Source organism: Homo sapiens, chromosome 20 (assembly GCF_000001405.40).
Source record: "Homo sapiens chromosome 20, GRCh38.p14 Primary Assembly".
NCBI lineage: Eukaryota > Metazoa > Chordata > Mammalia > Primates > Hominidae > Homo > Homo sapiens.
Window position 1 is genome coordinate 25,308,232 of NC_000020.11, and position 13,383 is coordinate 25,321,614.

General features: G+C 54.5%; 1 protein-coding gene across 12 annotated transcripts in view, besides 6 other annotated features; it reads right to left on the minus strand.

The window, feature by feature from the left end:
• Positions 1–13,383, minus strand: part of ABHD12 (abhydrolase domain containing 12, lysophospholipase) — a 96,093-nt gene that overhangs the window by 13,489 nt on the left and 69,221 nt on the right. For 10 of the 12 annotated variants that reach the window (NM_015600.5, XM_047440090.1, NM_001042472.3 and 7 more), the window contains 5 exons: positions 11,968–12,087; positions 8,817–8,847; positions 6,694–6,739; positions 1,215–1,344; positions 226–263 (listed from right to left, as the gene is read on the minus strand). In NM_015600.5, coding sequence (NP_056415.1) covers positions 226–263; positions 1,215–1,344; positions 6,694–6,739; positions 8,817–8,847; positions 11,968–12,087 — 365 coding nt within the window. Of the gene's footprint in view, positions 1–225; positions 264–1,214; positions 1,345–6,693; positions 6,740–8,816; positions 8,848–10,114; positions 10,925–11,967; positions 12,088–13,383 lie in introns of those variants that run through there. The other 2 variants (XM_047440094.1, XM_017027797.3) reach the window with 2 other exon arrangements.
• Positions 959–2,158: an enhancer, noted in NCBI's record as "CDK7 strongly-dependent group 2 enhancer chr20:25289826-25291025 (GRCh37/hg19 assembly coordinates)". NCBI's record gives its function as "activates an origin of replication core promoter dependent on BRD2, BRD4, P300/CBP, MED14 and CDK7 cofactors, with strong dependence on CDK7, by STARR-seq in HCT116 cells {active_cell/tissue: HCT116}" and the evidence as "EXISTENCE:reporter gene assay evidence [ECO:0000049][PMID:35650434]".
• Positions 2,003–2,122: an enhancer, noted in NCBI's record as "active region_17666". NCBI's record gives its function as "activates an Ori minimal core promoter by ATAC-STARR-seq in GM12878 lymphoblastoid cells {active_cell/tissue: GM12878}" and the evidence as "EXISTENCE:reporter gene assay evidence [ECO:0000049][PMID:35858748]".
• Positions 8,746–9,355: an enhancer, noted in NCBI's record as "H3K4me1 hESC enhancer chr20:25297613-25298222 (GRCh37/hg19 assembly coordinates)". NCBI's record gives its function as "activates a minimal SCP1, AML or CMV promoter by ChIP-STARR-seq in naive H9 embryonic stem cells {active_cell/tissue: H9 hESC(naive)}" and the evidence as "EXISTENCE:reporter gene assay evidence [ECO:0000049][PMID:30033119]".
• Positions 10,469–10,528: an enhancer, noted in NCBI's record as "active region_17667". NCBI's record gives its function as "activates an Ori minimal core promoter by ATAC-STARR-seq in GM12878 lymphoblastoid cells {active_cell/tissue: GM12878}" and the evidence as "EXISTENCE:reporter gene assay evidence [ECO:0000049][PMID:35858748]".
• Positions 10,559–10,798: an enhancer, noted in NCBI's record as "active region_17668". NCBI's record gives its function as "activates an Ori minimal core promoter by ATAC-STARR-seq in GM12878 lymphoblastoid cells {active_cell/tissue: GM12878}" and the evidence as "EXISTENCE:reporter gene assay evidence [ECO:0000049][PMID:35858748]".
• Positions 11,149–11,228: a silencer, noted in NCBI's record as "silent region_12747". NCBI's record gives its function as "represses an Ori minimal core promoter by ATAC-STARR-seq in GM12878 lymphoblastoid cells {active_cell/tissue: GM12878}" and the evidence as "EXISTENCE:reporter gene assay evidence [ECO:0000049][PMID:35858748]".

A 13,383-nucleotide genomic window follows, 5' to 3' on the forward strand; every position in this document is an offset into this window, starting at 1 on the left:
TCCTAAAAAGCAGACTTGCTGATGCGGCTCTGGGGCCAGACCTGTGTGTGTGAGGCTCCCCAGCTCCTCAGGTGTATCATGGGAAGGGTGGCTGGTCAGCCCCGGGCCCCCCAGAATGTGCAGCTCATGCTGCTCCATGAGGACGCTGAGCACTTGCAGCAGGGCCGGGACTGGGGAGCACCCTGAATGCTCACTGCCACGGCTGGGGCCCAACAAGGCACTCACCTCGCTCACAGAGGCGCCGCACCAGATTTGTCGCCACGCTAGGAAAAAAGAAAAACAGCTTAGTTGAGTTATGATAAAATTGTTTGAGATGATATGGGCCTTATGCTGGAAAGTGCTCAGAGGAGCCATGGGGTCTGTGAAGCTACTGGAGTTTCAGGACAGAGTGGGGGAAATGGAGATCCCTCTAGCACTGGGGGTGACCTGGCTGCCCCACCATCAGCTGACCCCTGCAATGAGGGCTGTACCCACAGCCAGTCAGCTTGTCCCCGAGGTGTGTCCTGCTGCCTCTCACTGCCCGTACACTCCCATTGGCCGGGCCGCCTGTCGGCTGGGGGTGGCCAGCGTCTGCCTGCACCTCTCCTGGAGCCCACCACACCCAGGGCCTCTTGCCATCCCAGGACCACACCTGGTGGACCACGCAGACGGCCAAAGGGATGGCTGGTGCCCCCCACCCACTCCTCTCCTGATGCTTCCCAGCCTACAAGAGGCCATTCAGGTGTTGGGAGAAGGGCTGCCCCGAAGGGAAAGGCAGCAGAAAGGGAATGGCAGTGAAGGTCTGGGGACTGGGGCCCTGAGAGCAGAGGTTCCCGCAGAGACGTGGACCTCGCATCAGCAGAGATGACTCAGGCTGCCCACAAAGGGAGTGTGGAAGTACCTCCTGTCCTGGCCTCTGTGAGAAGCAAACCACCCACTGTGCCCTCCCTCAGCTCTGAAGACGCTTCTTCCTCAGAGCCAAGTCTCCCTAGGGAGACCCCTCGACCTCCACTGCCTATGTCTGTCCTGAGCCACTTCCTGGACGAGGAGCTCAGATCCTTTGGAGTCTCTTTGTAACTTCCCCTCCTGCCTCTGCCATGGGGATGGGAGCGAGGCTGGTCGGGACTAATGGTGCCACAGGGTTTGCAGGGATGGTGGACTCTCTAGATCCAGGCATGGGAGTCACCAGGAATACTGACTCCCACTAAAGGCTGCCTCCTGCTGGGGTCCCTTACCCAGTGCCCAGAGAGTGGCCCCAGATGTACACGGGGTTGTCACCACTTCTTGCTTTGATCCAGTCAAAAACGTGGAGTGCGTCATAGGTCATGCCCCGCTCAGATGGCGTTCCCACTGAGTCACCCCAACCTGGGAGGGAGAAACGGCAGGACGGGGAGGTCAAAGGCAGCTCACAAAACCTGGACAAACACACCTCCCCAAGGGGGCCCAGGGCCAGGAGGAGACAGGGAGGGGCCCGCTTGGCCCACCCTTCCAGAGTCCACAGACCCACCCAGGCCACTGGGCAGAGCAAGCAGTGGGGAGAACGGGCACAACCCCACATCCCCACCAGCCCTGGGGAAGGCAGCCCAGCAGCAACCCTGCCCTGCCCCTGCTGACTGCACAAACCAGACATCCCCTCACAGGGTCACTCTAAGTTGGTGAGCTGCACATTTGAATGGCAACTAACAGCAAGCTGAGTTAACAGAACAGATCACAGAGCTTCAGAGCTGGCACCGGCATCCTCAGGCCAGGGCTGGGACTTGCCCCACCCTCTTGGGCAGGGGAGTGAGCTCACTTCTCCCTCTCTCTTTCTTAACAGGCAAGCTAGTGAGGTCTAAGGCAGTGAAAGCCTCTGCCACCACCATCCTCAGCTCTACACTTCTCCCCCATCCCCCAGCAGCATCCATGTGTCCCACTCCGAGCCCTGACGAGCAGCAGTGCAGATGGCGTGGTCAGATGAGCAGCCCCCGGGGCCGCTGGCTGGACACCAACCTCCTCAACGCCGAAGGCTTGGTCAGGGGCAGGACAGGGAGTGGAGTCCGGAGGCTCCCAGAACAGGGAGGGCATTTCTGGGTTCAAGGCAACCATGACCCAGGAAGGGGAAAGGGGCTGTTTCCCCTTAGGGTCTAATTAGCATCTTGTTTCCATAACAGAAAACACTACCATCTCTGCCCCCCAAAATTACAACCTCCCAAGGGTCCCTCCCCCAGTCTCCAGCAAAGGTGGAGTGCAATTATCTTTCCAGCAGCCCAGCAGTGAGTCATCATCAGATGATCTGAAAGCACCACAAAGGTCAGAAAGAGCAGGTTGTGCAGTGTAAGCAAACAGTTAGTGCAGAACTTGCTGTTTCCCGACTCAGACACTAGAGGAGGGAGGAGGCCATGCAGAGGGCTAGGGCCAGGCTGGGAGGCAGGGGTATGGGGACATGAGACAGAAAGAAAAGAACAGAGACAGGGACAGGAGACAGAGACAGACAGGAAGACTGAGAGACAGGAACAGAGAGGCACAGAGACAGGCAAGAAGACTGACAGGGACAGACAGACAGGCACAGAGACAGGGACAGGAGGCAGAAGGATGCGGACAAAGAGGCAGATGCAGTGAGAGAGACAGAGGGACAGTCGGAGATGGAGCTGGCAGTCTTGGTGCCAATTAGAAACGTAGACTCCACGAGAACTGAAACAGAAAGTGCTGCGTGGGATTTCATTTCCTGACAGAAGTGCGGGGAGATGAATGGGAAGAAGCCACTCATTCTCCCTCTCCTAAGGTCTCTAGCATGCAGCAGAAGAGAACCAGTGTCAACATGGAGAGAAGGAGAGGGCAAACCACTTCCTTGCTCCTCATTCTGGAGTTTTTCCCAGCCCACAACTGTCATCCTGATGGAACTTTCTTCCCTGTGGTTGGCAGCATGGTGGCCCCCAAAAGTGTCCATGACCTAATCCCTGGAACTTGTGAACGCGTTGGGTCACATGGCTGGGGAATGAAAGGTATGGAAGGAATGAAAGCTACTAACTGCTTGCCTTGAGATGGGGGTGATCCTGGACAAGCTGGGTGGGCCCAAAATAACCACAAGGGTCCTCATCAGAGAAAAAGGGAGAGGAGTCAGGGTCAGAGCCAGATGACCTGGGACTCAATCACAGAAGGGCTGTGAGCCAAGGAACACAGGTGGCTGGAAAGGGCAGCCAGGCATTCTCCCTGAGAGCCCTGCTCCCACCCTGATTCCAGCCTGGGGGCTGCAGATTCTGAATTTCTGACCTCCAGAACTGCAAGACGCTACATGTGTGCTGGTTTAAAGCACTGTTTGTGGTAACATGTTATAGCAGCAAGAGAGAATTAACACAACCCCCACATCCAGGTGACAGCCTCTCTCCTTTGTCCCTCCCATATCTCCTCTTGGTCTGAGGATAGACACGCCACCTGCCCCCACAAGAAGGTGAAGGCAGCCAGCCACGTTGCCATCAACTCTTTAATCTCTCCAGCTGAGGACTACATGGTGGAATACACTTTTTGAAATTTTTGAGACAGGGTCTCGCTCTGTCACTCAGGCTGGAGTGCGGTGGCATGATCTTGGCTCACTGCAACCTCCGCCTCCTGGGCTCAAGCTTTCCTCCCACCTCAGCCTCCTGAGTAGCTGGGATTACAGGCACCTGCCACCAGGCTCAGCTACTTTTTTTTGTATTTTTAGTAGAGGCGGGGTTTTGCCACGCTGCCCAGGCTTATCTCGAACTCCTGGTTTCAAGCAATCTGCCCACCTCAGCCTCCCAAAGTGCTGGGATTACAGGCGTGAGCCACCGTGCCCAGCCAGAATACACTTTAAAACAGTCTCGCAGTCAGTTGCAATGGCTCACTCACACCTGTAATCCCAACACTTCGGGAGGCCAAGGTGGGCAGACTGCTTGAACCCAGTAGTTCAAGACCAGCCTGGGCAACATGGCGAAACCCTCTCTTAAAAAAAATAAAATAGCTCTCCCTCTCCCCACGGTCTCCCTCTCCCTCTCTTTCCACGGTCTCTCTCTGATGCCAAGCCGAAGCTGGACTGTACTGCCGCCATCTCGGCTCACTGCAACCTCCCTGCCTGATTCTCCTGCCTCAGCCTGCCGAGTGCCTGTGATTGCAGCAGCGCGCTGCCATGCCTGACTGGTTTTCGTATTTTTTTGGTGGAGACGGGGTTTCGCTGTGTTGGCCAGGCTGGTCTTCAGCTCCTAACCGCGAGTGATCTGCCAGCATCGGCCTCCACAGGTGCCGGGATTGCAGACGGAGTCTCGTTCACTCAGTGCTCAATGTTGCCCAGGCTGGAGTGCAGTGGCGTGATCTCGGCTCACTACAACCTCCACCTCCCAGCCGCCTGCTTTGGCCTCCCAAAGTGCCGAGATTGCAGCCTCTGCCCGGCCGCCACCCCGTCTGGGAAGTGAGGAGCGTCTCCGCCTGGCCGCCCATCGTCTGGGATGTGAGGAGCCCCTCTGCCTGGCTGCCCAGTCTGGGAAGTGAGGAGCGCCTCTTCCCGGCCGCCATCCCATCTAGGAAGTGAGAAGCGTCTCTGCCCGGCCGCCCATCGTCTGAGATGTGGGGAGCGCCTCTGCCCCGCCGCCCCGTCTGGGATGTGAGGAGCGCCTCTGCCCGGCCGCGACCCCGTCTGGGAGGTGAGGAGCGTCTCCGCCCGGCAGCCGCCCCGTCTGAGAAGTGCGGAGCCCCTCCGCCCGGCAGCCGCCCCATCTGGGAAGTGAGGAGCGTCTCCACCCGCCCCATCCGGGAGGGAGGTGGGGGCCAGCCCCCGACCGGCCAGCCACCCCGTCTGGGAGGTGGGGGGCGCCTCTGCCCGGCTGCCCCTTCTGGGAAGTGAGGAGCCCCTCTGCCCGGCTGCCACCCCGTCTGGGAGGTGTACCCAACAGCTCATTGAGAACGGGCCATGATGACGATGGCGGTTTTGTCGAATAGAAAAGGGGGAAATGTGGGGAAAAGATAGAGAAATCAGATTGTTGCTGTGTCTGTGTAGAAAGAAGTAGACATAGGAGACTCCATTTTGTTCTGTACTAAGAAAAATTCTTCTGCCTTGGGATGCTGTTGATCTATGACCTTACCCCCAACCTGGTGCTCTCTGAAACATGTGCTGTGTCCACTCAGGGTTAAATGGATTAAGGGCGGTGCAAGATGTGCTTTGTTAAACAGATGCTTGAAGGCAGCATGCTCATTAAGAGTCATCACCACTCCCTAATCTCAAGTACCCAGGGACACAAACACTGCGGAAGGCCGCAGGGTCCTCTGCCTAGGAAAACCAGAGACCTTTGTTCACTTGTTTATCTGCTGACCTTCCCTCCACTATTGTCCTATGACCCTGCCAAATCCCCCTCAGAGGAACACCCAAGAATGATCAATAAAAATAAAATAAAATAAAATAAAATAAAATAAAATAAAATAAAATAAAATAACATTAGCCAGGTGTAGTGGTGTGTGCCTGTGGTCCCAGCTACTAGGGAGGCTGAGTTGGGAAGATCACTTGAACCCGGGAGGCAGAGGTTGCAGTGAGCTGAGATCACATCACTGCAATCCAGCTGGGTGACAGAGTGAGACCCTGTCTCAAAGCAAAACCAAAACCAAAACCAAAACAAACCAGTCGCTCATTGTTAACACCAAGTATTTCTGTTGCCTATTAAGCCACAGTGTCCTTGGTATATATCAAACTATGGATTCTTGATTTGTTCAGTGGCAAGCCCTGGTTCATTCAAAAAAGCAGAAATGCTGAGGTGCAGAAGAATCTATCTTCTCTCTTAACAGTTCTTTTTTTTTTTTGACATGGAGTCTTGCTTGTCGCCAAGGCTGGAGTACAGTGGTGCAGTCTCGGCTCACTGCAAGCTCTGCCTCCCAGGTTCAAGCGCTTCTCCTGCCTCAGCCTCTCGAATAGCTGGGACTACAGGTGCGAGCCATTACGCCCGGTTAATTTTTGTATTTTCAGTAGAGATGGGGTTTCACCATGTTGGCCAGGCTGGTCACGAACTCCTGACCTCAAGTGATCCGCCTGCCTCAGCCTCCCAAAGTGCTGGGATTACAGGTGTGAACCACCATGCTCAGCCTCTCTTAACACTTCTTACTGTCTTCGTAACTTTAACAAGACAAGCTTTGATGAGCATAAACCATGTCTGACGTCCAGCTCTGCAGTCTAAAAAAGACAGTATCTTCTAATTTAAAATGCTGCAGGTTGGGTGCAGTGACTCCTGCCTGTAATCCCAACACTCTGGAAGGCTGAGGCAGGAGGATCGCTTGAGGCCAGGAGTCTGAGACTAGCCTAGGCAACACAGCGATACCCCATTTCTACTAAAAACAAAAACAAAACAGCGGGTGTGGTGTCGCATTCCTGCAGTCACAGCTACTCGAGAGCCTAAGGCAGAAGGATCCCTTGAGCCAAGGAGTTCAAGGCTGCAGTGAGCTACAATCATGCTACTGTACTCCAGGTTGGGTGACAAAGTGAGATCCTATCTTAAAAAAAAAAAAAAAAAAGTTGCTGACAGGGCATCTGCTGGGGGCTCCAGGTGCTGAGCCTCCCCTACCAGAAGGGGCTCTCCTGACAGCTCCATCAGGGTCTTTGTCAGGACCCAGGACACCATCACAGCACAGGCAAAGCAGGCGCTGGCCTTGCTCCGAGCCTCTTCGAGTGAGGCCTGCCCATGGGATACCGCCAGCAAGCAGTGGAATTGTGCTCAGATGCTCTTGCAAAAGAAATCTCACCTCTGTAGTCAAAGGTGACCACATGGTAACCAAGGGAACTCAGCACCTGTAAAGTGAAAAATAAACATCTTTGGCAACAAATCCAAGCATCTGTATTGAGGGCAGCTTGCCGCTTACTAAACTCATCCAACTTTCTCTCCTCTGCCTTGTACGTAGTGGCAGCTTCATAAAGACTGTGACATGCTGCCTGACTCCTGGCTGGGTTTTATGAAACCAAGATGCCAACTGCCACTGCAGGACTTGCTGACATCCCTGCCTGGGAGCGCAGGAAGGCTCTCCCTTCCTCCTGCTTAGACGCTAGGGGGCCAGGAGCAGTGTCCGGCCGCAGCTCCACTCGTGCTGCAGGGCAGCCTCTGGGGCGGCCTCCTCTGGAGGCAGACAGCTCTCGGTGCTGCAGTGTGATGGTAGACCCCCAGGAGGAGGGCTACACTGTGCAGAGACCCCATCTGGGGACCCTTGCTGCAACCCAGTATTTCTTGGATTTTAAGCTCTTGTCAATTTTTTTTTCTGTTATTTTTTTTTAATCCCTACAGACTAGCTGACCTCTTTCATTTAGCTCACTCCTCAAACACCCACCCCTGTGCCCTTGCTGGGGTGTGCCCAGAGCAACATGGGAGGCTGCCGCACCATCATGTCACCCAGAATCACAGCTCCCTTCTTTGGGGGGGTTGTTGGGTGCTTCCCCAGGGCAGCCTGCACTTCCTTGCCAGCTCCTAGCCACCGCAGAGGCTATAACCAGAGCCAACCTGCTCCAGCCCTGTTGACCTCAGCAGGATGAATCATTTCTTTTAACAGAAAACTGAAAAAAGGACCAATCACTTCTCAAACTCTCCCCACCTTTCCTGACTTAATGCAATGTACTCCACGGGTAAAATCCTCCAATAGCTCAGAGCTGGGTGTGCCCCCGCCTCTGTCTGTGCCCCTGCCTCTGTCTGTGTTCCCTTCTGCCCTGTGGGCCAGTGCAGATGGCCCTCTGAGGGGAGGAGAGTGAGGCTGTTTCAACAGTATCTCTTGGGCTCCAAGACCCAGACAACCAGATGAAGAACAAAACCAAGCAACCAAGCACAAGTGAAGGTCTGCACGCCCTGCCCTAGGCACCCCCTGCATGTGGGGAGACCTGCAGGCGCTCCCACTGTGTGCCTGGAAGCTGATTCAAGTCCCACCTGCAGCCCTTGCTGGGGTGAGCCTACGACCTGGCAGTCAGTGTAGCACCTGGAGCACCTGGTTTCTCTTTTCCTTTTTTTTTGTTTTTTGAGACGGAGTCTTGCTCTGTTGCCCAGGCTAGAGTGCAGTGGTGCCATCTTGGCTCACTGCAACCTCCGCCTCCCAGGTTTAAGCAATTCTCTGCCTCAGCCTCCTGAGTAGCTGGGATTACAGGCGCCCGCCACCACGCCTGGCTAATTTTTTTTGTATTTTTAGTAGAGACGGGGTTTCACCATCCTGGCCGGCTGGTCTTGAACTCCTGACCTTGTGATCCACCCATCTTGGCCTCCCAAAGTGCTGGGATTACAGGCGTGAGCCACCACACCCAGCCGTCTCTTTTCATTTTATACACAAGTAACGTAACATTGAAAAACAATTTCCAGTGCTGCTTATGTAGTCTGCCAATATCTGCACTTGGTCTACAAAGCCCATACATTCTGATGTTGGGGCCCAGGCCTAGAAGCAGTGTGATGGGCAGTCACAGCAGAGGCAGCCAAGGCCCTACCTTCCAGCACGCCCATCCAAAGGCAGTGTTAAAAAGCTCAACACGCCTGTCATCCCAACACTTTGGGAGGCCAAGGTGGGAGGCCCAGGAGTTCGAGACCAGCCTGAGCAACATAGGGAGACCTCATTTCTACAAAAAAACAAACAAAAATTAGCTGGGCGTGGTGGCGGCATGCACCTGCAGTCTCAGGAGGCTGAAGCAGGAGGATAGTTTGAGCCCAGGAGGTCGACGCTGCAGTGCGCTGTGACTGTACCACTGCACTCCAGCCTGGGCAACAGAGGAGGAGGACCCTGTCTCACACACACAAACAGCCCAGCAATAGTTAACTCTCAAGCTGTGAGTCTGGTGACTCCCTTCACTTCCTGCCCTGGAAAGAACAGCCCAGGGAACAGGTGTGGGTGCTGCCTGCACTCACCTTGTAAAGCTCCACGCGGTGGTCGCCTCCTCTGGAGAAGAAAACAGGACATGGTGTGAGCACATCTTCTCAGAGTTGGGCCCCAGGTCAACTTGTCCTCCATACCCCAAACCAGGGGGAGGCCAATGAAAGAGGGCAGAACCTCTTCCTTGGGTCCCCCTAAGTAGCCCCACACTCGCCTCTGGCAGTGCTGTGCCAAGGGGGAGATGGTCTTAGCACTTTGGGGGAGATTTCTTAATGACTGCTTTTATTTTTCAGTAGGTAATGCACACCTACAGCCCCAAACTAGAAAGACACTAAAGGAAACACAGCAAGGCCTCATCCACCACACCCCAGACCCTCCCAGCTTCCCTGTGCCAAGGACACCCTGTGTAGACAGAGGCTGTGCTCCAACAGGACCCGTATGGGCGACTTCTGCCCTCACTTCTTGCTCCGCACGTCTCAGCCGACCTTCAGAACTCTGCTTAGCCACACCACCCTGGCCTCTCATGGTCATCTTGACTGTTTCCCACCTGGCACTAACTTCTGTTTGCTGCTGTGGCCACCCTGCCTTACAGCCCTTCACATGTGTGTGCTCTGCACATGGGATATGCTCCTAGAATCTCCCCAGGGAGGCCCTGAAGTGCCGGAACGGCTGCCTCCCGCCCCTCACAGCCAACTACAGCTTCACCGTGCATGTCGCTACTGAGACTAAGTGGGCTCGGCACACACCCTCCCATTTGTACTTCCTTGTCTGAGGCCTGTCTAGGCTCCCTTCCCTCTTTCTTTCCAGTTGTTGGCCAGCTGTTAACCTGGACCGACCCCACAGCAGGGACATGGGCCACCTGGGAGGAGGGCGGGTCCACACTCTCCACACTCCCTAGCCGTGCTCCTCCTTCCTCAGGAGCGGTCTCAACATTTCAGGTATGGGGGCGGGAGTGTTGCTGGTTGGACACCAGGATGAGATGGAGGAGGAAGCCAATAAAGTACAGAAACAAAAATATAAAGGGTCAGGTGCGGTGGTTCACACCTGTAATCCCAGCACTTTGGGAGGCCGAGGTGAGCAGATCACTTGAGCTCAGGAGTTTGAGACCAGCCTGGTCAAATGGTGAAACCCGTCTCTACTAAAAATACAAAAATTAGCTGGCCATGGTGGTGGGTGACTGTAATCCCAGCTACTCGGGAGACCGAGGCAGGAGAGTCACTTGAACTCAGGAGGCTGAGGTTGCAGTGAGTCAGGATTGTGCCACTGCACTCCAGCCTGGGCAACAGAGTGAGACTCTGTCTCAAAAATTAAAATAAAAAATAAAGGAATGAGTTTCAAGGCAAGGAGGAAACACTGCAAAATATTTTCAGTTATCATTGTAAGAGTTCACAGTGGCTCTAAGTTTCTAAAATTTCCTACATTAAGCAAAAAAGGAACAGTTGCTGGGAATCCAGGGGGTCTGGACCTCAGGGGGACCCGGGTGGTGGATCCCGCAGACCAGCGAAACCCCAGTGGGATGCACAGGACAAAGAAAGCAGGCAACGTGGGGGTGGCGAGGACTGCAGCCAGGCAGTCTCTGCAGGATTGGGAGGGGGCAGCAAACACTGAAAGTCACGGCATCCCTTTCTAACCTAAAGTTATAGGCAGGATCTTTTTTTTTTTTTTTTAACCATGTGATGGGCACTGCAGAACTGAACCTTATTCACAGCCAACCACAGTTCTGTCATTTATAAAAAGATGCTGCAAGAGCTGTTTGTAGCCACTTGCTCTTTGAAAAGCAGAAGAGAAACCCTCTGCAGCTTGTCCCAGACAAAGAAGAAAGGAAACTGTGCAGCACATGCATGATTCTGTAGCTAGACACGCCATCCCTGACACAGAAACCGCTTCACGGGCCATGCCGCCAGGCTCTTTCAGCAATGCTCTCTGCAGGGTTCCACCATGCAGACCCCACCTAGGCCTGCTTTCCCTTCCAGAAGGGCCCAGCACAGCTCTCCTTGCTGGCTCTGCCTATAAAATGTTTGCCCCCAGCCCTGACATACCCTGGTGCCACACGGGACCTCGGCCCTGGCCCCGCAGCAGCCCTGTCTCCGTGCTGGGTCTGCCTCTGTGCTGGCTCCTGGCTGCCTCTCTCACACACGAAGACCTTGGTGGTTTTCAAACAATGCTTTGTTCAGAAAATGTATCCCCTCCGCACCCACCCTGGGTTCTCCCACAGAGGCTCTTCTGAACAGCAATCACATGGTGTGGAAGGAGCACCCTTTTAAGGCAGGGAGGCCAACTCCAGGGCAGCCAGTGGAAAGGACAAGCCATTAGACCCACTCAGGAAAAGCATCTGAGATAAAACTGGGCAGGGCTGATTAACCAAAGAGTGCATGAACTTCAGCAACAGCCCGTTAGGGTGAGCAGAGAGCTCACACTGTAGGGTGGCCTGCAAAGACCCCAGCACCTGGTGCTTTCAGCCTCTCCCTCCTGCCCCTTCTCAGCACCTGCCACTTTTTTCCAGGAAGTGTGCCACCTCCTCCAGGGCTGCCCTGGCTCCGGCTTCACCTGTCTGCCACCTGGAGCTATCTTACAGGTAACAAAGATCTGCCTGCCACTTCAGGCAGCATGACAGATATAGAGAAAACAAGCTGCCAGTGAGCTGAAGCCGCCCATTCCCAAGAGCGCGAGGCACCCACAGCCAAGTGCCACTATGACCCCTCCTCGGAGGGACCCCAAAGCCCTCACTCTCCAAGAAACCCTGCTCCCCAAATCACATACCAGCAGATGCTGTGACCTTTGAGATTACAACAAGGAGAAAAAAACATGCCCCTCTGGCTGGGGAGCTCAGCTCCTGACTGAGACTCAGCCTCCTTCATCCCAATCCAGGCTGCAGCTCCAGATAGGGGACGGTCTGCACACAGCTTCCCACACTTGGTCCCCACGGAACACAGCCGTGCTGGCCTCAGCCTGTGGGAACCCTGCTTCATGTAAACGTCACCTAAACTCCGCCTTCCCTCAACCCCTTCAGAACTCTGCCTTTCCCTTCGTTCTTGGGAGGCTCTCCCTCATTGCAGTGGGTCAGTACACCCAATTTTGTGGGACCGCAGGTTGCTCCTGCTGGTTTCCGGCAGACCGGGCCAGGACATTCCCACCCCAAAAAGGAGCCATGCTCCACAGCAAAGATGATGGGCTCCTCTCCCTCACCTGGTACCTGCGTTCCCATGCAGGTACAGAATGATAGGGTGGCTGGAAGCCAAGGCATCCTCATACCACATCTGGTCTTTGCCTTGGGCGTTCTTCCACCAGACTGCAGGGACGGTGTGCCTGCAGACAGAAGCAGAGGGGAGCGCAGGATCAGATGTCCCTTCTGTCCTCATCCTGGCGACTGCACGTGGTGTTACTTAATCAGCTCAAGTCCAGACAGCAGGGAGCTGCAGACCCCATCTAACTACAGGGGAACAGATGGGGGTGGGTGGTAGAAAACTATCCCCATCACTAGAATCAATAACCACGGAACTGCAGGCTGTGTGGATGGCACTGACAGCTTCAGCAGGAGCGTTCCCTGACTGGCAGGCCAGCCTCCTCTGGGCCACAAAGGCTTGCAATGTGCCAGTTACCACTGGGGCCTGGCAGAGAAGCAGCACTTAGTCCATCTTGAGTAATAGCATTTTCCTCATACGTGCCCCACATCCCAGTTAACCCCATGCTTAAATTGTCCACAGTTTAACTCACAATGGATTTTAAACAGTACATGCTGTCACATTTGCTAATTCAGCAACACCAATGTTTGTGAGCCAGACTAGAAACCGGGCCATCGCTGACGCCATTTCTAATGTCAAGTATGCACCACCTTCCCAGTCTGCTCATGGTCCACACCTGGCTGGGCACTCTGAAGCTGCTGGTCTATCTAGCCAAACCCTCCTTCAGAGAGATACTGAGGTTAATTTTAACTCAGGCCACATCGAATACTGTTAATCACTGGGGAGGGTCCAAATTAATCACTTTTCTGTAAAGCTTATTCAAATTCATTCTGGATACCAGTGACAAGAATCTTTAAAAAAATTTAATGGCCAACTTCTTATTTTCTAGATCTTAAGCTTCAGCATCTCATTTCTAACGTCTCTCTCTGATCCGTTCAAAAGGATCACTTTTGGGATGGTTCTAGTCACTATGATCATCACTCCCATACAGTTATAAATTTGAGGGATAGGACGTCACATTTTGAAGGTGCTGGGAGCAGATGTGCTTCCAGTAGCCAGCCGCCCCAAACCTGGGCTCCTGACAAAGAGCCAGGGAACTCCTAGCCAGCAGAGAAACCCATTCCTGGGCCTCTCCTCTCAGCAGACAGGCGATGGCCAGGCATGGCCAGGAATGGCCCCCAGGCTCCACTCTAGGCCTTGAGGCCCTCCTTTCAGGAAGCTGGTGGGAGGGTCTGATGAAGCGATGGTGGGGGCAGTTGGTGAGCTGGGCCTGCTGCTGCCTGAGGGCCCAATGTCATTGTGACTGCCTAGGGCATGAGAGTGGGCAGCAGCCGCACTCACCAACACGCACCCACCAACACACAGCAACACACAGCGTGGCTGTCACTGCCTTGACACTTGCCACTGACATCACTAAACA